Source organism: Homo sapiens, chromosome 11 (genome assembly GCF_000001405.40).
Source record: "Homo sapiens chromosome 11, GRCh38.p14 Primary Assembly".
In the NCBI taxonomy this organism is placed as follows: domain Eukaryota; kingdom Metazoa; phylum Chordata; class Mammalia; order Primates; family Hominidae; genus Homo; species Homo sapiens.
Window position 1 is genome coordinate 107249257 of NC_000011.10, and position 24557 is coordinate 107273813.

A 24557-nucleotide genomic window follows, 5' to 3' on the forward strand; every position below is an offset into this window, starting at 1 on the left:
CTTCCCCATTTTCAGTCTTGATTTTCTCTTTGGTATGTGGAGACAATAAATGACCTCGTGGGGTGTTCAGAATATTCATTTAGTCAATCCACAAATATATATTGAGCACTTTCTGTGGGCCAGCACGGTTCTGTGCATTATGGATAATGAGGTAAACAAAACAAGGGATAGTCCTTGCCCTCACAGGGCTCTCAGTCTAGTGGGAAAAACAGATATTAAATAAATGACAGCTATTTATCCTTCATTTATCAGCTTAGGAAGGTCTTTCCTGAACTTTCTTCCCAGCCTCCTCTCTAGTTTAAATGAGGTCTCCCCCAACCCCTTGCTTTATCTTCTTTCATAGGTCCATGTACATTTGTTTGAAGACCCTTGTCTTCATTTTAAGTTATAAGTTTATTTCAGTAGTAGCTAGGTGAAAAGCACGTTAAGGAAGTTCCAAGTAGAACCTCTTCCAGCAGCACGTTTGATGCACTTGAGGTGGAAAATAATTCAGACCTGTTGAGGAATTAAAAACTCAGTGTAGATGAAGCAGAAGAAGGAGGCAGAGAGATTCAAGACCTATCTGGAAAAAGAGGCATGGGCCAGATCATGCAGAATTTCCTATGCCAAGATTAAAAACATTTTATTTTATTCACATTGGCCTGGGAAGCCATTGGTGGTTTTAAGCATGTCAAAGTCTGTGATGAATGAGAGTGAAGTGATGTTGCAGGTTCTTCCTTAGCAGTTGTTCCATTTCCCCTGAAATAAAGGGGAGAGTGGCCCTTCCCCAGTCTGTTATTGGTTCATGACCCCAGTTGGCACGTGACCCAAATTGGTCAAATCAGAGGGATGCCTAGGAATTTATTTCAGCAGTTAGAGGAAAGAGAATCCCCTCTATTGGCCAAAAAAAGCATGCAGCTCCAGGAACTTCCTGGTAGCCATTTTGCCATCAGAAAGAAAGACTGCCTGAGGATGAAGGCAGCCTGCAGAGGCAGGCCCAGGTGAGGGATTGGCAGAGAGGTGGAGCTCCCAGATTAGCAGGCCTGCTGTCATTCGAAACCCCCGGAAGTCTGCCCCATCTATGGATTCACTGGGTACTAGAGCCAATAAATTCCATTTGTAATTCAAAATCAACAACAACAACAAAATATTAGAGCCAAAATGGTGATCTTAAATGCAAAGCTCTTTAACATGAAACTAGGGAAATGGGAATCTAGCGAGGTGATCAAGGAAAGTGATTAGGCCTCAGGAAAAAGAAGTTCCATAGCGGAGTCACAGGGCCTCATAGAGCTAGAAATGGAAGAAAATCTAAAATCAAAGGCCATGCAGGCTCCTCTGATCTTCGTGAATCTTCATATTAATGTCCCATCCCTAATATAACTGTTCTTCACGTGTTTTTCCCACTTCCAACTGGCTTTCTTGTTTCTATCTCTATAAAGATTTTTTTCTGTATGATAATTTTTACTAAGAATGAGGAGGTTCATACATTTGGAAAGGAGAGCTTTATTTCTCGTAAAGGGCTGCAGCCTGCAGCATGGCCATTCTGACAGACTGGGAAACACAGCCTCTGGTCAGATGCTAGAAACAGACACTTCAGGCCTTGGTAAAATAACCAACGTCTCCAACTGTGTCCTGTTTCAAAAGAAAACAGATTCTTACAAACTTATGCAAATAACCATGTTGCCATAAAATAAGAATACTCATGAAAAGTTTCCAAATTTTGGAGAACTGAGGTAGACAGAAAGGTAAATTCTGCTGACAAAAGTATACTTTTTACAATTAGAGTAGCAGCCTTCCAATCAGGATGTTGTCTGTTCACCTTGAAACTGCCATCCTCAAATCAAGCAGCTCATTGTCAGTCAGGTGAGAGCTGTTTATCAGGCACTGCAGAATCCAGCAACTCCTTGCACAGGTCCAGAGTCAACTCTATGGGAATAAGGGCTCCCTGTATATGAGTATCTCCTCCTTGCATTCATCAGGTAGCATGATAAGTCATTCCAATTGGATTACGGAACTCTGGGCACTTCTGGGCACTGCTATCCCCATTAGGGTGCTTCTCTGGCATCATCCCAGACAGCATGGGTATTTCAGGTGTCAAGATCATTTTATATTCTTTACATATGGGTGGCTTCAGTTAACATCTCATAACTGGTCATTAAATGGCCCTGAAGTGGAAATTCTTTAGTCCGAAGTTTCAGCAGTCATAGTTGACAGGTGCTCACAAGCTTTGGCCACAAGCCACAGTAAATGCTCCACAAAGGGCTCTCAACTGGAGAACTGGGTCCTTTGCGATGTTGAATGTAGCCCAGGCACTACCAGCACTCCAGTTTCTACTCTACGTTCTAGGCTCGGGCAATGTTATGGGTTCTCATTTAGAAAGTCCAATTAATATTGCTTGATGGGTGGATTTACATGCCTTCTGTTTTATAGTAGTAGGTAGGAGAAACATCCCCCAGCTGGATACAATATTCATTTTCATAAAACTTTTAGGTTAAAAGGAGTCACAACCACTTTACACAAAGCCTATTTAAACATTCCAGCTTTCAAAATCGTATCAACCTTACATTTTTATGTTCTGGTCTCAGGAGCTTCTTTGTTTCCCACCCCTCAGACCATTTTACTTTCTCTGGTGAAAAAGGATTTGGCTTCTCAGCCAAAGGATCAGGAACCCTTCTGTCAATCCTCAACACTGCCCCAGGCAATTTTCGTTGCACTCTTCGCTTTCTGACTTTTCTTCAGAAATATCTCCAGCCTAGGGTAAATACAGAAAAATGATTTGGAGCCCTTTAATGTTGGGAGATCAGCGTCTCCCTTTGGTCCACCCAACCTTCCATAGTGTTGTGTTAAGATCTTTGTTTTAACCCCACCAATTTCCATTTTATTTATTTCATCTCTTAATAACCATCTAAAGATTTTCACCCTGCTGGGTCATGGGACTCTCCCCTTTCTTTTTTCCCCTTAGTTTCACCCCATCAATGTTTTCTGTATTCATTTTATTTCTTAATTACCCTTTAAAATTTTCCACTTTCCTGAGATGAGTCCTTTGACTCTCTCATTTGCTTTTCCCATTTTCTTATTAATTAATCTAATGTTTTATTAGCATCTGTAACATGAGGGAAAGCTGGAACAGCAGACTTGATAAGGATCCTCGAACCTAACAACATCATCCTATGGAGTGCCCATGCAGAAGGGGCCCCCTTAACCACAGCATTTACCATGACCTGGGTGATGGGCACATTCAGCGCATGACTGTCCCTGACATCATAAATCTAGCTCCATATGGCTTGCATACAAAGCGTATCAGTTGCTTTACCTGGGGGCACTCCACTAGGCATTTATAAGGAGTTGGGCAGTCCCTTTCTTGGAGTAAACAGATCTTACAGTAGCTTTTATCCAGTACCCCAGGCTGGCCGTTCCCTCGAGAATAATCTCCTGTTTGTCAGGATCATATATATCCATCTGCAATTGTACAATAGTGAGCTGTGGGTCCTACATCAACCCAAACATGCTCTTCTATTCTGCAGCATTTAAAACCAAAGATACTGATATTGTCCCTAACTTGGTTACTCTTAAAATCCCATTTTAGTAAAGGTTCCTCAGGAAGCTGATAATACTGATCTACAAAATGGAGCAATTCCTTCACATGATACCTTCTGATTTGAATAGTCACTTAGCTTTGCCGTTCTCCCCACATTGACTATCTTCTTGGTAACCACAAGTCTCAGAGTTACTTTCATAATTGTATTATGCAAATGAGCTTTCCACTTGTCCGGGCACCATCTTGTCTGCTGCTTACTGCACGTGTGGCTGACAAAGAGAGAAGGGAAGATGGAGCCACTATTTTGAACACGATTGGCACAAACTACCAGCATCTATATCTGCAGCCTGACTTTACAGGCTGCTCTTGTTAGAAAATGATTTGGGGACTGCTTGTCATTAAAAGGGAAAACCTTACCAAGGACTCTAGCACTCATTATCTGCCTAAGTGATTTCTTCTTAAGTCCTATATCACTATGATGGATAACAATAACCAAAGGAATGAATATTTTGCTTTTTCCTTATTAGTTTGCATTTCCTTATGCATCCAGTGAACCAACTCCCCCAGAGTTGCATCCATCTCTAAATTCCACTGGTAAATTTTACCTTTAGTAACTGAATGCAGCACAGCTGCTGCTTCATACCGTAGGTGAGCCAGCGGCCACGCAGGAATCAAAGCTTCCTCATTCCCCATCCTTTTTTTTCTCCATTTAGTTTGAGCTATATCATTTTGTCCTTTGTTCTGAAGCAAACTTTAAATAGCCTCTAACCAAATGAAATTACTTTTTCCTTTAGCAAAAATCACATCCTCATTTTTTTTATAAACTTCACCAAAAAACACATCTTACCTTCTTTATATACTCTGTATGTAGAATTGCTTCTCTTATGTCTAGTAAGGGAGGAGACCACCCCTCATATTGTCTTATGCCCAATTTCTGCCTCCAAAGAAAGAAGTAAAAACTAAAAGGCAGAAATGGAATCCACAGGCAGACAGCCCGGCGCCGTGCCCTGGGCCTGGTAGTTAAAAATCAACCCCTGACCTAACTGTTTGTGTTATCTATAGATTTCAGACATTGTATGGAAAAGCATTGTGAAAATCCCTGTCCTGTTCTGTTCCGTTCTGATTACTGGTGCATGCAGCCCCCAGTCATGTACCCACTGCTTGCTCAATCGATCACAACCCTCTCACACAGACTCCCTTAGAGTTGTGAGCCCTTAAAATGGACAGGAATTGCTCACTTGGGGAGCTCCGTTTTTGGAGACGTGAGTCCAGCGATACTCCCAGCTGAATAAAGCCCTTTCCTTCCACAACTCGGTGGTATCTGAGGGGTTCTTGTCTGCGGCTCATCCTGCTACACTAGTAGTTTTAATTATATATGTTAACTACCATTCTAACTCTTCATAACCCTAGTTTCCAGTGAAAAAAGCCAGGATTACTTAATTTAACCTAACTGTAAGCTTTCAAATTAGTGAAGAGAATTTTGGTTGTTTGTGTTGTTTGTTTTGAGACAGGGTTTAACTCCTGTCACCTAGGCTGGAGTGTAGTGGCATGATCATGGCTCACTGCAGCCTTGACTTCCCCAACTCAGGTGATTCTCCCACCTCAGCCTTCCAAAGCATGTGCCACCACACCCGGCTAATTTTTTTGTATTTTTAGTAGAGATAGGGTTTTGCCATGTCCTGGACTCAAGCAATCTGCCCACCTCGGCCTCCCAAAGTGCTGGGATTACAGGTGTGAGTCACTGTGCCTGGCCATGAAGATAATTTTGAAACTAGTTTTATTTACCAAAGATTACCAAAGTCTTGTGAACTAAAAGGTATTTCAGCTAGCTTCTATTTTTCAGATATTCATATCAGAATCAGCTCTTTGTAACAGCTCTTTCATATATTTTGGTATAGGAAAGACACAGACAGAGGCAGATCTTAAAGACTTATAAGATTCTTCATTTGCCAGTTTTCAAAGTCTCTCCCCTACTTTGGACTATCAATCTCTTGTGTACCTGTTTCATGCCCTAAACAATTGTTAGCTAGTCAGCTCTAAATTTGCATCTCCAAAGACATGACTCAGGTGAAACAAGGTAGAAAATGTACATCTCAAAGTCACAGACTTAGATCTGGACAAAGGCAAGGTTTGTTTTTAGATAACACTACTGCCATTGTAGCAGGACGAGCCACAGACAAAACTCCTCAGACACCAGATTAAAGAAGGAAGAGGTTTTTATTCGGCTGGGAGCATTGGCAGACTCGCGTCTTAAGAGCCGAGCTCCCTGAAAAACAAATTCCTAGCCCTTTTAAGGGCTTACAACTCTAAGGGGTCCACGTGAAAGGGTCGTGATAAATCAAGTAAGTGTGAGGAACGTGACTGGGGGCTACGTGCATCAGCTAACAGAACAAAAAGTTTTACAGTGTTTTCTCATACGGTGTCTGGAATTTACAGATAACACAAGTAGTTTTGGTCAGGGGTTAATATTATTATTATTATTTTAACCGCCAGGGCCAGGTGGTGGCGCCAAGTCGTCTAGCTATTTATCTGACTTCTGTTTCTTTCCAACTTTTTGCTTTCCCCCTTCTCTCCTGTCTTATAAACTAGGGAAAAGAGGAGGTCGGGGAGAAGCTGGGAAGGACAACAGGAGAAGTGGTGGTCTCATTTCATACCATCAGCCACCTCTAACACTGTAGCTCTCACCCGTAACTGGCAGTCATCACACACACCAAGGTCAAGTTTTCTGACAGTACAAAGTAATCTCTGGTATCACCAAAAGCCAGACATTAGGTAATGCAATGCAAAAGAGAGCAGAGACTTTTTATTTTATTTTTTTTTTTTGAGACAGAGTCTCGCTCTGTCGCCCAGGCTGGAGTGCAGTGGCACGATCTCGGCTCACTGCAACCTCTGCCTCCCGGGTCCAAGCAATTCTCCTGCCTCAGCCTCCCGAATAGCTGGGACTACAGGTGCCCGCCACCATGCCCAGCTAATTTTTGTATGTTTAGTAGAGATGGGGGTTTCACCATATTGGCCAGGCTGGTCTCGAACTCTTGACCTTGTGATCCACCCACCTCAGCCCCCCAAAGTGCTGGAATTACAGGCATGAGCCACTGTGCCCGGCCTGGAGAGCAGAGTCTTAAACCCGGGAGTAATCTGTCTGCTTACAACTCTTGGGGCTCCATAAGAAAAAACAGAGTTACCTCCCAAAAAGGAGTCTGTGGTGCATTTTTGGTTTTCCTTAAGGGATCCCAAGCTGTTAGAATTTATTTTAGGTCCTCATGGGGGTACTGAAGGTGGCAAGAGAAACAAGGGACAGACAGAAGTAAATGAAGAAACAGAATTCAATCAAAGAGAAGAAAAAAAGTCTTTCAAAAAAGGATCCAAAAAGAGAAAAAGCATAAATCCCTTTTAGAAAATTATAATTATACCTTTGATATCGGCTTTTAATTAAGCTGACTTCTAACCATAGAGCTCTTTAAAAGAAAACAAAATCTTCTCAAATCTTACCAGATTTTACCAAACCTTTTGAATCTAGCTTTTGAATTTCTTTACCAAAGGTAACCTCCCAAGTGAAATCAATAAGGCTTAACCAAGGACCCATGGGGCATCGCCAAAGAGGTTTCAAAGCAGTCGCACAAGATTTTGATCCATCCCAAAAGACAGCTCAATGAAAGGAAAGTCTCACCTGCAGCAAAAGGAGTACAACCCACATTTCTGCTGGGCCATATTCTCTAGGGTCTCAGCTTCACAGCTGACCATCTACATACAAAGACCCAAAAGCCCTGCAGGCCTCCACAGAGGGAAGACAGAAAATGAAAAGCTGTCCTCAAAAGGGAAAAGGATCAATAAATGGCAAAAAGTCACACAAATATCAAACCAAAAGGATTTCCTGACTGGGAATCAAATGCAGGCCATGGCAGTGAAATCACAGAAATTTAACTATTAGACCACAAGGCAGAGTGGCTTTTATTGTTATTCCCTCAGGGCAGCTTAAGTAATCAGTTTGAGCTTACAAAGGATTTTAACTTTGCTTTAGGTCAGATTTTTGATCTTTAATTTACTCAAGAGAATTTTTAAGGTTAACCATGAGACTATTACGTGTCCTTTAAAAAAAAATGGCTGGGTGCGGTGGCTCGCGCTTGTAATCCCATCACTTTGGGAGGCCGAGGCGGGGCAAGGTGGGTGGGTCATGAGGTCAGGAATTCAAAACCAGCCTGGCCAACATAGTGAAACTCCATCTCTACTAAAAATACAAAAATTAACCGGGTGTGGCCTGTAATCCCAGCTACTCGGGAGGCTGAGGCAGGAGAATCTCTTGAACCCGGGAGGCAGAGGATGCAGTGAGCACAGATAGCACCACTGCACTCCAGCCTGTGCGACTCTATCTTGGAAATAATAATAATAATAATCTCCCATGGTTCTTAAGTATGTAAGCCAATGGGATCTTTTATGGTGGCTGAGAAGAGACTGTCCCTTCAGAACTAAGGGTTCTCTATCCCTTAGACCTAAAGTTCTCTACAACTGCACTCACTTTAACTAGGAGTCCCTTAGAGTGCCCTTAGCCTTACAGACCAGCTGTGACCAACTGGACTGGGAAGCACCCCTAAACCTGGGGCTGACAGGGGAGAGCTCCTCAAGGGTCCAGATGGTGGGAACCAAGAAGGCTACAAAGGCCCCCTCCCAAAACTGGAGTCAACAAAGACGTTCCCTCTGGGATATGGATGGTGGGAAGCAGGACAGATTGAGTCGGGACTGGAAAGAAAGAAAGGGAAGGGGTAGAGAGAAATAAAGTCTGTGAAATCTTCAACCTAAAAGCAGGAGATCTTGGACCTGAGGAAAATGAGCCAGCTTCCTCCCAGAACAGTGAGGGAGACAACTGAGCAGCAGACGTGGGTCTGCTGACTTCGGATCATGCTGGGGGAAACTGGGGTTCTCCATGGATCCCACCTTCATAGCCAACCATGTCAACTATAGAACGGAGAAGTTCGTTTAAGTTTAGAAAGGAGAATTTTATTTCTCATAAAGGACTGCAGCCTGCAGTGCAGCCATTCTGATAGACTGGGAAGCATAGTCTCTGGCCAGAAGCCAGAAACAGATACTCTGAGGGAGGGGCAAAGGGAACAGGAATTTATGCTGAGGAGGGTGGCCGAATATGCATATTCAATAAGCTACAGGAGGAGTCATGAATATTTATGAAAGGAGAATCCTGTATGTGCAATTGAGCTTCACGCCCCCTTCATGGGTCCCATGTACAAATAATGGGGCATCAGCATGACTCGAGGGTGGTGTGTTCAGCCGCCGACATCAAAAGCAGAGGACACAAAAACCTTTACTGCACATTCTCTGTAGACTGGCCAGAACCACACCATGGTCGGTGGTCTCTTACCAGGAAGAAATGCTGGTTGGTTGTTTTGTGAAAACCACAAAGGGGACGGGGAGCAGACAGGCAGCTGATTGATACTAGTGATGGAGTCTTTAGGAAGGGCTGGTTTCTGTTTAGCCCTTAGGGAAGAAAGCCCAATGGCAGTTAGTAAGGGAAGGGGCATAACAGGCACGTCTGACTTCCCATGTTGTCCCGGCCAAGGACTCAGTTTTCAAAGTTACTCTGGGTTCTCCTTGGCCAGGAGAGGGTCCATCCATCAGTTGGGGGCTTGGAATTTTATTTTTATTTCACACTTACTTCCAATGTTGGCTTACTTACCCATGGCCCATCATGACCCTCAGATCGAGCTCTTTCTATTATATTACTCATCAGCTTCATACTCCACTACAGGCTGCCTGATTATCCCCCCATTTTCCATTCGAGTTCCACAGAGTGGGAATCTACCCAACCCAACTCCTTCTTTGAACAAAGCTCATCACACCAAACCATTTCACAGACTGTGGGTTGACTGTTCTCTGGTCATATATAACCAAAGAGGGGAAACTCATGGTTGCCCCCATCAGTTTTTCTGAGCATGCCTGAGGTAGATTAGGCCCTTGAGTGACCTGTGTATACACCAGGGCTGATGGGGGTAAAAAAGCAAACACTCTGGAATCTCAGTCCAAAATGTTGATTTTATTACTGTAAGCAGAAATTTTTAATTTTTAAAGGATTAGAATGCTATCAGTGTTTGGTGTCCTTGAAAAGACTTCCTTTGAACCAAGAAATAATCATTTACTTCATTGGGAAACAAAATGAACCATGCAAATGGAAATTGTGAGTGACTCATTTGGACACTAATTGGGGGAGAAAAAGTCTGCAATTGAATGTGCATCTGCTTAAAAGCAGAGTGCCTCTGTTAGAACCAAGTATGTTTTCTTTTATTTATTTAAAAAAAAATTCCTCTCCAGGCTTTTTAAGTAGATGAAATGTAACCATAAATTCAACAGCATTTTCTTCATTGTTACTAGGGCCCAATGGAACCAAGACATCTCAGCTTCTTAAAGAAAATTTAAGAGATCCCTGGGATTGTGCTGCCGTAGAGGCTTATTTGTGAGTCTGGCGTCTGTGTTGCATTATTGTCTCTAGTCTGATTTATTTGAAGGTGATCTCCATGCCTTTAAAAGAAGAATGTACTATCATTCAAGCAGTAGCAGAAGCCTTAGCTCCAAGCATGATTTCACTGAAAACATTATGTCCACCTTCCCCAATACACTTCTCTGTCTTTTCACCCCATTCAACTCATCTATTCCTCAGCAGCTAAGTCAATTTTCAAGGCTGGGCCTATTCATCGGCTGATATTTCCTCCCTTCCTTTGCTCCCCAGACACTCTCCTAAAGAGCAAACTTCAGGGGTAGGAGAGAAGTGGGATGCCTGAGGCTGGGCCCCCTCACAGGCAGACAACCAAAAGAGCAGGATCTAGCTCCAGGTATGGCAAATTCAGATAACTGTATTTGCTCTCCTTAGGATCAGCCACATTCTGGGAACTGATTCCTGCTCCCTAAAATCACAAGACACCCATGAGAGCCAATTTCATTTGGACAGAAAGCAGACCTTAATGGTGACTGGCAGACTCTTGTCCACTGTGCAGGGTATAGCTCCCTGGCTCCACTCCTGTCACCTCACCCCCAGCTGTCAAATTGCCTGGGAAACCGACTTGTCACCAGAAGATTCATGGCAAGCATGCAATTCAAACAGGAATCTGGGAGATGCTGCTGGTCTTATCCCTACTTCACTAGGCAGCGCCGCTTTAAACGTGACTAGAAAGCTCACATCCTCCAGACACAGTGTCTCTGTGCCTCTGACAGTGACAGATTGGCAATGACGAATTCTTACCAAACACTTGCTGTCTCAATGTTCCTTAAAGTCACCAAAGACTTCTGTCATTACAACATACCTTTGAGACAGAAATGTCACCATTTCTAAGATGACAGCCTTTCATTAGCTACACTCTAAATTGATGCCTTCCTTCTTGCAGGGAGCATCGTGGGTCCCTGGCTGGGAGCTGAGAAGCTCCCTCATCTTATCAGGAACACTCATCCGAATCATTTCTTCCTGAATAGATTTCCACAGATGAGCAATCTCATTCATTTAGGATGCTACTATTCATTTTCATTTCAAAACTTGTCATGTCCTTGCTTTGTCCCCCAAATAGTGGAAACAAACATGGCTCTAAATCTACAAGTGAGTTCAAGTGTCTCGAGTGCCCATATTGTGCTGGACACTAGAGGTGGGGTAGGATGCAAACATAGTAGATATAAAGTTCTTGCCTCTAATCAATGTATGCTCTGGAGATGCAAAACATCTCAAACACAAAATAAAATAATCCAAATGCTATATGGCATGGTAAAGGAGTAATCTAGGGGTGGACTACTCTGAGAGTCCAGGAAAGATGGTTTCAGGGACTTTGCATTGTTAGTCCCTATAGTGGATTAAATGATGGCCCAAAACAAGATACATCCATACCAAGCCCCCAGAACCTGTGAATGTGACCTGATTTGAAAAAGGGTTTTTGCAGATGTCATTAAGTTAAGGATCTTGAGAAGAGATCATTCTGGATTACCTAGGTGGGCCCTAAATCCAGTGACAGACATCTTTATAAGAGACAAGAAAAGCAAGAAGAGGAGATGGTGACGTGAAAATAGAGGTAGAGATTGGAGTCATGCAACCACAGGCTGAGGAATGTGTGGAGCCACCATAAGTTAGAAGAGAAAAAGGAAGATTCTGCCCTGGTGACTCTGGAGAAAGTGCAGCCCTGCCAACACCTTCATTCCAGACTTCTGGCTGCCAGAACCATGAGAGAATAAGTTTCTGTCATTTTAAGCTAACAATTTTATGGCAATTTGTTATGGCAGTCAAGGAAACTAATATGGTCCATCTGCCTGGGATACTCTGTTCTCCCGATTGCTCAGGTCTCAGCTTTAATGTAATGTCCTCAGAGAAGCATTTTCTGATGTCCCGTCCCCACCCCACAGCTAAATTATTTAATAGGTCCCATTATTATACTTATGGCCAGCTCCATGTCTGTTTCCTTCCTGGTACTTAGTGTGAAGTCTACTTACTACTTAAGGCAGAATAATTTATTGAGATATGAATTTATGTTTGTTTTTGCCTAAAAATTCCCCATTGAGGAGATTATAGGGGAAGATGTAGAGCAAGAGGGAAGAAGCAGCCAGGAGAGGAGTAATTCTCAATTGAGTGGTGGGGCGGCCAGCACATACTCCACTCCTTGCAGCACCCAGGGAGGCAGGGAAACCTCCAAGGGCACAGCTGGACCACAGGCGCCTGTGCCCCATCCTCACAAAGATTCCCAGTCCTGAGTGCAGAGCATCAGCCCACAAGGGACCCTCTGCCACAGTGGTCCATGGGCATGATCCAGTGTGACCACGTGGCCATTACTGGGATGCACTTTCCTAATGTATTTGATGCCACAAAAAAAAGTCTGTGTATCTTTTGGCGAGAGACAGAAGGAAGTGTGAGGAGAGCAGACAAGAATTGCTGAGATAGAATTTTTCAGTGTGGGTCAAGATGACAACTCTAATACAAATCTAAGCTGACTTAAATAAAAGTTTTTAAATGTTGAGCTTATGGACTAAGATTTGCACCTGCTGAAAATTTATTTGTGTGATCATTTGTAATGATGTCTTCCCACTAGGCTGTAAGTTTCTGTGACTGTTTTTCTGACTGCTATATTCCCAACGCTTGGAACAGATTTTTTTTTTTTAAGTTTGTAAAGTGAACAGGTGTGAGCCACTGCACCCAGTCCCAAGCTCACGCCTGTAATCCTAGCACTTTGGGAGGCTGAGGTGGGCGGATCACCTGAGGTCAGGAGTTTGAGACCAGCCTGGCCAACTTGGTGAAACCTCATCTCTACTAACAATACAAAAATTAGCTGGATGCGGTGGTGGGCGCCTGTAGTCCCAGCTACTCAGGAGGCTGAGGCAGGAGAATCGCTTGAACCCAGGAGGTGAAGGTTGCAGTGAGACGAAATCGTGCCACTGCACTCCAGCCTGGTGACAGAGCGAGACTCCATCTCAAAAAAAAAGAAAAGAAAAGAAAAGAAAATCCCAGCCAAAAGGGCCATCAGGAGGACTAGGTGACCCCCAAAAAGCAGTCTATGCAGGACAGACTTCAAAAAGTCAGACCCCCTTCATAGGGGGATGCACCTGTACCAGGAAACAGTGGGAAAGAGACCTCCAGTAATGGGATTCTCTGACAATCCCACAGAACTGCTTCATGAGAAAAAGATTAGCTTTGGGACATCTGACACCCTCCAGAGATATCAGGTCACAAGTCAGGTGTTTTTTTTTTTTTTTGTTTTTGTTTTTGTTTTTGTTTTTTGGTGTGTTTTATTTGTTTGCTAACTCTGGTAAAGCCAGAGGAGACTTAGGGGATTGAGGATGGGGAAGGACGTAATTAAAGCATGATCATGATGTTTTTTCCACTGCAGCTTTCCCAGCCTGGATTGGATTCACTTGGGGAAGGGGAGAAACTTTGGATTGGATGAGAGACTAAATTTTATATATGAGACTGGTCTACACTTTTATTACCAGAAAAATGGCAGTATTCATTGGTAGCTGAAATGACTTGATAAAACCATGTGATCTACCCAGGACTTCATGCAGAAGTAGGGAAGAAGGTGTCAATAGAGCTTGCCTAAAGGCAATAGTGTGCAAGAATAAAGCTACTTTCTGCTCATATCCTTCTCAGTTGAGCTCAAAGAAGAGCCTGCACAGTTCCATGGGCTTCCTCCCACAATGATGCCAGGTTTGGACTCTGCATATCTATGGTGAGGTTCTTGCTTGGGTTCACAGCTTACCCTCACAGTCACATCCTGGGGAAAAACCAGGCACTGTAATGCTAGCCACCGTGTCCGGGTTGAAGTGACCCTAACTGCAGTGCCCAGAGTCACTGTCTGTCTTACCTCTTCAGGGCTAAGTCATTCTCTTCAGCCAATCAAATTCAGTAAGGACTTCTTACACTCATCTCCTAAGACAAGATGACCAGCTCCTTACAAACACAGAACTAAAAGAGACTCTCAACATGATCTAATTGACTTAATGTTGCAGAACTAAGGTGAGGCTGCCATATGACACTTTTCGGTATAAGACCTATTTTGAGTGACCTGTGATGTTCACTGTGGACATTTAAAGAATGTTTCTCAACGGGCACACTGTTTAATTTCTCCTTGAATAGGCTACCTGTTACACTCACAATTCATTTAAGCAGGAGAAAAAAATATGGATTTTAGTTGAGGGATGACAGTTTGAATAAATAAGAAGAGATAGCCTTAATAAAGAAAATAAATGGGATCTGGACAGGCTAGGAGGGGAGACAGGAGAGGGAGAAAAGAAGAGATCAAATCACTACTCTCTGACTGTGGAACTCATCCTCCCACTCCAGCTTACATCTGCTTAACTTTAGTTCACATAAAGTCATCATTTCTGAAACTGCTATTTTTTTCCTGTACTGATGTTGAAGAGGACAGTCTCCACCTGCTGCAACCCAACTTTACTCATGCCTTTCTCACACCTTTGCTGTGCTCAGGGGTCTGTACAATTTCTCTGCTCCAGGAACTGCATGAAAACAACAGGGGTGTGTAGCTTCATTACAGCTTTCCAGGGTTCATTAAATAAAAATAACCTAAATGAAGTTACATTAGGAAGCACTCACATTAAATATCAACTGCTAATGAGCAACTTTTAAGGACTGTCACCAGAAAAGCAGATCTTGTCACCCATTAGGAATTGTTTTTAAAACCAGCTAGGGAAGAAAAAAAAAAAAAAAAAACTGGTTTTCTCCAAGATTCAGGCTGCTTTCCAAAGGAATCGAGTGTCAAATGGTGCAATCAGTGTGTTGAAGAGTCTCAACTGTTGAGATTAGGGGGGAGAAAAACACATTTTTTTCCCTAATAGCTACTACCCAATAATACTAGGCCAAACCCATCCTTCCTCTTGAGTAGGCTGCATAACATTTTAGTCACTTTTGGTTTTCAAAAATGTCTTAGTTTAGATGTCCCAAAAATGTCTAAGAATCAGTTCTGTTCATTTTTAAAGTTCAATATCATATATGAGTCAAAGCACTTCCCCTACTCCATTCCCTCTCCAGCCCCATCTCAGGCTCACCTCATGATTGTGGTTCTAGCAGCTTGTGGTGGAGGATGGGACATGCCTGGCTCTCACATAACCCCTTCTACTCCCTGTCAGGTGGGAAAGAGGAAGAGAGAAAACAGATGTCTCCTTCCCCAACTGAGGGAGGCCTCAGCTCCCTTGTTGGGTGTTCAGGGCCACTTCTTTAGAGCGCTTTCTGTGGGATTCCTGTGGGCTGGTGGCCATTCAAACCTGCCCTGCTAATGGGGGGCCTGCTCCTCAGCAGCACCCCCTAGACCCCGGCAGCCATTTATGAGCTGTGACATTTTGGGACCCATCGTCCCATGTGGGATTCATCCTCTGCACCTCGAGGTAGAGAAGAAATTCTGACCTCTTTTGCCTGTCAGTCCCCTCACCCTGGCAATAACCTTCTGGGTTCTCTTTATTCCTGCTGTGGTAACACAGGCAGATTAACAGGCCCACTATTTAGGCAAGGACTCAACTGGAGACTAACACACAGGTCTCTCTTTCTTCCAGCCTTCTCTCTCATCTTTACAAAGGGTTCCTCCTCCTGGGGCCTTTCTCCCTTCCCTGCAGGAAAAGATGGCACTCCCTATTGTCCTCTACACAGGAAGGTCTTGATGGGAGAAAATAGAGTCAGTCTGTCAGATGCACTGCATCTCACTTACCAAAGGCAGCCTCCCCTGTCCTAGATCCATCCTTATATTAAGTATGAGGAGTGGGAGAAAAGCAAAGGCAGATGGAGGAGCAGAGAGGCCATGTTAGGCCAATTCTCTGAACTAGAATATTTTCAGTCAGCTATGTGGATAAATGGCTGCTGCCAATTTTGGCAGTTCTCTGGACCTAGAATATTGGTGTATGTGGACACTTCTTTTCCTAACTTTGAAATCCTGGGACAACAGAAATATTCTCACATGACATTCCTATACAATAGTTTCTATGGGCTATAAGTAGTTTTCTCAACAATTCCAGAAACACTGCAAATGTTAAGAATATTACATTCCAATACTCTTCCTTTTCTTGACTGAGAAATGTGGTGGTGGAGGAAGAAGTGGTTGGTGAGGCCATAATGTGTAGAAAATAAAGCCCAATAAACACAGAACTTACATACATACATGTTCACATACACACATCTGAGTTTCCATGTCAGGTACATTACATACTTGTGTTGGGAACATTAGGGAATAGATAAGATCCATTTATAAGGATTTACAAAAATTACAAAATTAAAAATTGTATAAAATTTCATGTAATTCAACAGGATTCTCACGGTGTATAATTTTTTTTTCCACTGGAAACCTTTCTTTCTATAACTGTATACTCTTATTTTGTAGTGATATTATTCTCACCCTCTGTTACCTTATATCATTCTTTTTCTTCTAATACATTTATTCAACCTTTATCAAGTATCAAAATGTCTTTTGACATTCTAGTTGCCTCCTACACAGACTGGAGGTGAATGATGGGTACCTTTCCACTATCTTTCTGCAGGCCCTGCGTGGATGAGTCTGGCATCTCTTTTTAGAAAGTGTGGGTACATTGCCTCTATCATCCTTAGCTTTGAGGCTTTAGCTGGAATTTGAAGGAAACAGCATATGTCCCATTTAACAGCCTATTATATTTGGAAAGGAGACTTGACAGTTCATTCCAAGAGTGAAGAATCATTTTACTTTCTGTTTCACTTGATCTTAGCTACCAGGTGTCCACAAGTCCTTCAGGATTTTCATATAATTTGCCTGAGAGAATTTTCCTTAGAGAATGTAGAAGATAAAGGGCTATACATGAAGGCTCAGTGTTACAGATTCCTATCTTTGCTGTATGTAACTAAATTGTTTTTGAGTGGATTATAGAGACTGGAGAAAGAGGTAAACCTATTACTTTTCTCCTTTGATGCTTTTTGACTAGTTTGAGCCTCCAAAAAATAAATTAGGATAAAGAGCAGCACAGGCTATGAAGATGATGTGCAGGTGCATTCATTTCTTTCCAAGTTAAAAATACAGTAGAGAAAGTAGGAAATGCAGTGAGCAAGGTACAGCTCCCTTTATTCCATTGACAAGCATTAAGCACGCATTTTATGTCGGGTACAGGGCTAGGCTTGCACTCTATTGACGAAATGAGGATTCAAATATTGTCTTCAAATTTATTCATTAAAATAGAAATATCATTCACTTTTACAGATGGCAAAATTTGCCATTGCTCCAAAGATACAGCTTTTCTACACTTCCTGGCAATCAATGGAAATCAGGATTTGAGCCATGTTGTGCAATAAAGTCTCCGAACATATTTGGCAAATTAGTATTCCTCGTCTGCACTTGCAGCTTATGAAGATTTTGAGCACAGCTTTAAGACAGCTCTGAAGTTGGGAAGAACTCTGGGGTGCTTTTACCTCATGGGCAGCCACACTGCCTCCACTCCACCTTGGAATCTTGCTTCCTTAGCCATCTGAACACAAGTTCTCTTGGTTCAGCCAGAGCCGGGATCAGGCCAGGAGGTTGGCTGGTGACACTGAAGATGGGAATATTTTCCACAAAGCTGAGAAGTGATGAAGGGCTTCTGGCTCAAGAAAATGTATGTTCACATTAAAAATTCAAAACTCTCCTGAATGCCACTTAGAGTTTTTAAATATTAGATTTATTTCCTCCTAATATACAGGGATGCTGGGAAACGACTGGATGACACAGGCTAGGACTGAACTTCAGGATGTAGAATGAAAGAAAAAAAATCTTAGCACTGCTAAGTTCTTATTTTATAAAAGAATTTAATAACCTCATAAAATAAACAAAGCTCATAAATATCTATTTTATTTGCACCTATGTCTCCCACTGTGATCAGCCATAACCGGATAGTAAATCCAACTGACAGGCAAAAAAAAAAAAAAACCATAAAAAATATTGAAGTAAAACGCTCATCTTTGTGTTGTTTTTTCTAGTCATATATTCAACATAGCTCTTCAGCCAAAGACTCCTTAAGGCAGATTTCTCTGACGCTTGTCAGTACTGCTTCTTTGATTGAGTGGTAATTAGTTCAACTTACAAATTGCAGTTATTTTACTAATGAATCTCAAATGGAATGAAACCAATCAGAAATTATTTACTGGGCATGACAATATGCAAAACAAATAATAAATATTAACTCATTTGTTAATCTATAGGATTACAATTATTACATATAAATATGTGTAATATGTGTGCATATGAATTTGATAATTGTTTTAATTGTATATAATTTATTAATAATTTTAATCATTACCAAAAAAAGTATGACAGGTTCTTACCCTTAAGAAGGTTAGCATCTGTTCCAAAAAAAGTCCTGTCTTTTTTTTTTGAGATGGAGTTTCACTCTTGTTGTCCAGGCTGGAGTACAATGGCTCGATCTCAGCTCACTGCAACCTCCACCTCCCAGGTTCAAGTGATTCTTCTGCCTCAGCCTCCCAAGTAGCTGGGATTACAGGCACCTGCCACCATGCTCAGCTAGTTTTTTTTGTACTTTTAGTAGAGATGGAGTTTCACTATTTGGGACAGGCTGGTCTCGAACACCTGACCTCAGGTGATCCACCTGCCTTGGCCTCCCAAAGTGCTGGGATTACAGGAGTGAGCCACTGTGCCCGGCCTAAAATGCCCATTTTTAATTGGCTACTTCTCACAAGACAAGGCAAATGGGTTGCCTGAGAAATAAAGATTTGTGTTTGAGTATTTATGACAAAAAGTCCATTTGGGAGCCAGGCTAATTCATAAGATATGTGAATGCACACTTTTTTTTTTTTTTTTTTTTTTGAGACGGAGTTTCGCTCTTGTTGCCCAGGCTGGAGTGCAATGGCATGATCTTGGCTCACCGCAACCTCAGCCTCCCAAGTAGCTGGTATTCCCAAGCAATTCTCCTGCCTCAGCCTCCCAAGTAGCTGGGATTACAGGCATGCACCACCACGCCTGGCTAATTTTGTATTTTTAGTAGAGACAGGGTTTCTCCATGTTGAGGCTAGTCTCGAACTCCTGACCTCAGGTGATCCGCCCACCTCGGCCTCCCAAAGTGCTGGGATTACAGGCATGAGCCACCACGCCCAGCCGTGAATGTACTCTTTAGCTTAATCTTTTCTTTTTTATTTTATTTTTTTTTTGAGACAGGGTTTCTCTCTTGTTGCCCAGGCTGGAGTGCAGTGACGTGATCTCAGCTCACTGCAACCTCCGCCTCCCCGGTTCAAGTGATTCTCCTGCCTCAGCCTTTCAAGTAGCTGGGATTACAGGCACGCACCACCACACCCAGCTAATTTTGTATTTTTAGTAGAGATGGGGTTTCACCATGTTGGTCAGGCTGGTCTCAAACTCCTGACCTCAGGTGATCCACCCGCCTTGGCCTCCCAAAGTGCTGGCATTACAGGCATAAGCCATCACGTCCAGCCTAGCTTAATCTTTTCTAAGATCAATACCATCTTTCTGGTGAACTTTGTCTCCAAGCACTGCAAAGCACTGCATCTAATTCAAAGATTCTATGTCTTTGGTGAAGAAGGCCAGCATTGTTGACCTAAGTCTGTAGTATCTGAGTTAGGAACAAGACCTAGTTTCCTCACGCCTGGATGTGAGGTTTATCTTTACATGAGAGCAAGGGACGTTTATGTAATCCTCATTAGTGCGGATGGCTGTTCTGACTCCAACAGCCAGTGCATCATTGCAAGAACAGTTGCTTTAATCTCTAAAGAAAACACCAAATAAAATGCATTTTTTTAAATCAAGGAAATAAGGTTCCGTCAATGCATATTGTCCAAGTGACAAAGGATTTCAGACAGCTACGTAATTAGCCTCTAATAGCAATATACATGAGAATGCAATTTACTTTTCATCATTCTTGTTCGGGTCATGAATTGAAATCACAGTAGGAGCACAAGGCTGTCAGGGATAAAGCAAAGGAAGAAAACAGGACTTGGCTGCTGGGAATATTCACACCCAGCCAAGAAAACATGCCAAATGAGGCTTAAAATGAACTTTTCCTGTGTGCATTTCACAAGTTCAGACCAAGAGGAAAAACAATTCTTCCCCTCCCCTACCCCCACTTTAATACTTTAACCATTGGGTGAAATATACCATAGTCACATGTATACTGTCTGATTGTGATCCTATACCCTGCACTAGGGGATCTGTCAAATATTCAGTGGACAAGTAGAAGAGAACTGAATTGGGAATCTGAAGACCAGAGACTTAGTTTTTGTTCTGTTACTGACCAGTGGTCGACCTTGGGAAAATTACAACCTCTCGGAGCTTCAGTTTTATCATCTGTTAAATGAAGATAATACGTGACCTGCCTATCTCATCCAGCTATTATAAATCATGTTTTCTCTTCATAGTCAAGCCTCTAGAAAAATTGAGTAGTCACAATCTTGACTTCTTGACCTTTCATTTACTCCCCAACCCAAAACTGACCCTCCACTGAAATGCTAAGACCACTGCTGTCAAATCTAACAAATTCTCAAATGCTTTTCAACCTTTCAATTAATCTCAGATTCTTTTGACAGTGTTAAATGTCACTGTTTTAAAACTTCCACCGCGATTGACTTTCATAACAGCATCCTCTCCATTCTCCTCTTTAATAATAGTGTTCTCCATGGCTTTGTCCTTGGCCTTTATTTTTTTTCACTATCACCATCTCTTCCATTATCTCATCCAGGCTATGGTTTCAACTACTTACCGTGAGTTGATGCTCCTATTTATCTACAGGATCACCCCTCTCCTGAGGTCCATTCTGCTCTTGGAAATATCCTCCAGAACTCCTTAGAGCTCTGAAAATTCAAAAACTCTAAAACCAATTCATTTGGTTCATCCCTCCTGACCACACTTCAAACCACTTCTCTTCCTGTGTTCCCTTCACCCATCCAAAATCTGGGACTCAACCTTGACCTGTTTTCAAAATTCTATCTCCAAAATATTTCTCAAATGTGTCTCTTACCTACTATTGCCACTATCTTGGTCCAGATCTTTTTCATCTCTTGACAGCATTGCAAATGCCTATAAACTAACCTCCCTTCTCTAATGTCAGGTCCTTCTGTGGCATCCTCCACATGGGTGTCAATGTGGGCTTTCTAAGCAACAATTTATCTCTCTTCCCTACCTTTAGATCTTTAATGATTCCCACTACACACAGATAAAATCCTAACTTTTGAATATAAAACAGATGTCCCTTTATGTACTGGGTCCTTCCCACCTTGCCAGTATCAGTTCTTGGATCTCCTTCATTGTCACCTTATTTACAGCCACCCCCAAATCCTTGTCATCTCCATTTGCTATATGAAAACTTGGTGATTTTGCACTGGGTTGCTCCTCTCTGGAATGTTTTCCCTTCTTTCCTGCTGATTGAAAAGATTATTCATCCATCAGGACTCAGCTCCCATGTATCCTTTCTTATTAAACAGCCCCTGACCTTCCTCCTGCTCCCATCTTCCTTAGGTAATTTAATTTCCTTCACAATAGCTTGTGCACACCTTTATTCTAACATGTCACCCCAGACTGCAGTTATCTCATTATCTGACCTTTTCTGAGGGTAGGAAAATCAAGTCTTGCCTGTATTTGTAATATAACGTGCATCACAACAAGGCTTCAGTAATTTCTAGATCTGACCCCTGCCATTTGCTTCAAATGATCAAGCATTCACCTAATCTCCCGGGTTTATTCAACCTATTATCTCCCTCCTAGATCCTCATCTCTCTGTCTAGCCTTCTTGAACCAATAATCCAATTGGATAATCTGCCCAGGTTTGATGTAGGTTAGTCCAAGGCAGCTGGCTGTGAATTCTCCTATTCAGCTCCATGTTCTGAGAGGGGGTTATGTCAGCTGGTCCCAGGTTCCTAGGAGGGCAGCCCAGGTACAGCACCATGAGCACCCATCTGTCAGGTGTGAGAGACACGAGAGAGAGACAGAGAGACTGGGAAAATTGGACTCATTATCTCATTTTCTAATAGCAACATTTTAGAAAATAACTATGTATTAAGAGGACAGGTACTCTACTGAAAAGCATCATTGCACTGCTGGAAGAATAGGAAACATTTATTGAATTGAAATAGCTGTAAGGAAAAAATAGCAAGATATGATTTAAGAAAAGAAATGAACAAAACTGCTCTCATCCTGCATTTCTGTTTTGTCTATTGTGATACAATTGAAGAAATGGGGATATTTGAAGTCGCATCAAACGCTCATCTATAATTCAGCTTTGCTAGAATGGAGCTGAAATGCACACGAAGGCAAGGGTCTAATTAAAACGCCAGACTATTTATTGTCTATTCTTAGCTTTGAAAGGCGATGAACGCTGTTACGGCATTGTGTAGACTATTGTGTTTAATGTGAAAGTCCAAAGGCCAAAAATTTAGATAGCTAACCAGGAAATGGAATGGAATAAATTATAAGAACACATTCACTGTATGCTTCCAGTCAACTTAAGGTTCAAGAGTCTCCAAACAAATATGCTGAAATGAAATGTGTAAATTTAAAACCATTGCATTTTCATTGTTAGAAACACAAACATAGGAGATTCTTTAGACTTTGTCCCTTAATAATAATATAGAATTAAGCATAAATCAGGTTTGTCATGAACTCAAAGGGAATTTATCCTTTGAGTTCATGACAAACCTGATTTATGCTTAATATAGTAATTACATCTAGATTATTGTCCTTCTGGATTACAGCTTTGAAGACTGCTGGAAAATGAAAATACTGACCAGTGATTTGCATCATAAGAAAAGGGTGGGTGTGACCATTTTCATTTTCAAATGAGAAGATCCTGAGATAATACAAGTTCTCTACAGATTCCACGTTGAAGGCTGTTAACAGGACTTACTTTTCTGTCCTCTAGAATTAGGAATTGTGTTCGTTCCTTACAACAGGGCCTCCAACTTCTTTTATATATAGCACAGAGAGCACCTGGTGTCTAGAGTCACAAGGATCTGAACCTGAATGTTAGCACTGCATGTCACCCACAGGACGATTGTGTTAACTGTGCCAAGTGTGGACTCCTCACCTCCAAGGGGTGCTATCTCCTAGTCGATGATATGATTGTACCCTCTGGAACTGGACAACATGCAGCCTTTGTGTGACTTGAATTGCTTATCCTCTCAAAGCCTCAGCTCCTTCAAGTGTAGAATAAGGGTGTTAATAATAACAGGGGCATTCAGAGTATCTACCTAGTTAAGTGATGGTGAAAATTAAGTGAGATAGTGTAACTGACCACAATCCCTGGTGGACTGAACAAAGGAAGATGAACGCGGGAATAAAAGACAAAGACAAAAGAGTATATTTGGAAGAAGGGGTAAAGGGGCACCTTGCCTCTAGTGGACAAGGGCCCTGAGCTTTTTCAGCCTTCCAAATTTATTAGGTAAAAGAGATAACGAGAAAGGGGAGGTGATTGTCAGGTAATTGTCACTCGGCCATTTGGTTCACAGCAGGCTTGTGAGACTGCATCCTTCAAACAATAGGCACTACATTTCCCATTAGATAACTTCAAGAAGCCCGGCGCCAGGGAGTGATGGCCCTCAGCAAACCTTCTGGCGGCAGGTGCAGTGTGACTTTGTTCACATCCTGCATTCATGATAAACAGTTTGCTGTTTGATCATATAGCTGCCAGTGGAATGCTGAGTTGGTCATGATCCCTTTGCTGGCTCTCTACAAGATAATGCATAAAAATATTTAGCATAGAACATGGCACAGAGGAAGTGCTTGCTAAACGTTAACAATTATGGGCCGGGTGCGGGGGCTAACGCCTGTAATCCCAGCACTTTAGGAGGCTGAGGTGGGTGGATCACCTGAGGTAAGGAGTTCGAGACCAGCCTGGCCAACATGGTGAAACCCCGTCTCTACTAAAAATACAAATATCAGCCAGGTGTGGTCGCGGGCACCTATAATCCCAGCTACTTGGGAGGCTGAGTAACCAGAATCGCTTGAACCCGGGAGGCGGACGTTGCAGTGAGCCGAGATTACGCCACTGCACTCCTGCCTGGGCAACAAGAGCGAGACTCCATCTCAAAAAAAAAAAATTATGATAACAGTGCCCCATTTTTCTGAAGGGTTAGTCTCAAACCGAGCCTTCTAAACCAAAACAGCATTGCAGCTTTTGTGCTTCTGCTGGCCACCATAATATTTATGTGCCCAGAGTATAGTATTTAAATTTGTTGTGTTGGAATTTTCCTTTGTCATATCATCATGTTAATAAACTTTGATAGCAATATGGGCTATAAATTTATAGGATTTATTTTATCTGGGTGAGAATAAGAGGTGAGGAGAAAAAGAAGAATAAAAGTCTTTCTAGAGATGTAGAGTCATCTTATTTTGGAAGGTTAAGATTAGATTAGTCTTAATTCACATTTTCACTGGGTGTTCACTTTGGACCATTTCTTTTACATAACGTACATTATTTCAAGTGTTTGATGTGTGTCTAGAGGGAGCTCATTTAAAACTATAAAGTTAAGACACTGATTGTCTAAGTATGAAGAAAAGTGGAAGCAAAGACTTAGCATGAGACAAATGAGGTAATGATTAAATTGGACTCCACACTG

At 42.2% G+C, this 24557-nt stretch overlaps 2 long non-coding RNA genes across 2 annotated transcripts in view, besides 1 other annotated feature; both read right to left on the minus strand.

The window, feature by feature from the left end:
- The window catches only part of LOC105369477 (uncharacterized), a 74968-nt gene that overhangs the window by 26041 nt on the left and 24370 nt on the right, over positions 1-24557 (minus strand). The gene's annotated exons all lie outside the window — the stretch shown is intronic.
- LOC124902745 (uncharacterized) lies at positions 1467-4460 on the minus strand. The gene is made up of 2 exons (XR_007062875.1): positions 3630-4460; positions 1467-2731 (listed from the first exon to the last, which is right to left on the minus strand). It is a non-coding gene; the product is annotated as an uncharacterized LOC124902745 (long non-coding RNA).
- Positions 23041-23788: an enhancer, noted in NCBI's record as "NANOG hESC enhancer chr11:107143023-107143770 (GRCh37/hg19 assembly coordinates)". NCBI's record gives its function as "activates a minimal SCP1, AML or CMV promoter by ChIP-STARR-seq in naive H9 embryonic stem cells {active_cell/tissue: H9 hESC(naive)}" and the evidence as "EXISTENCE:reporter gene assay evidence [ECO:0000049][PMID:30033119]".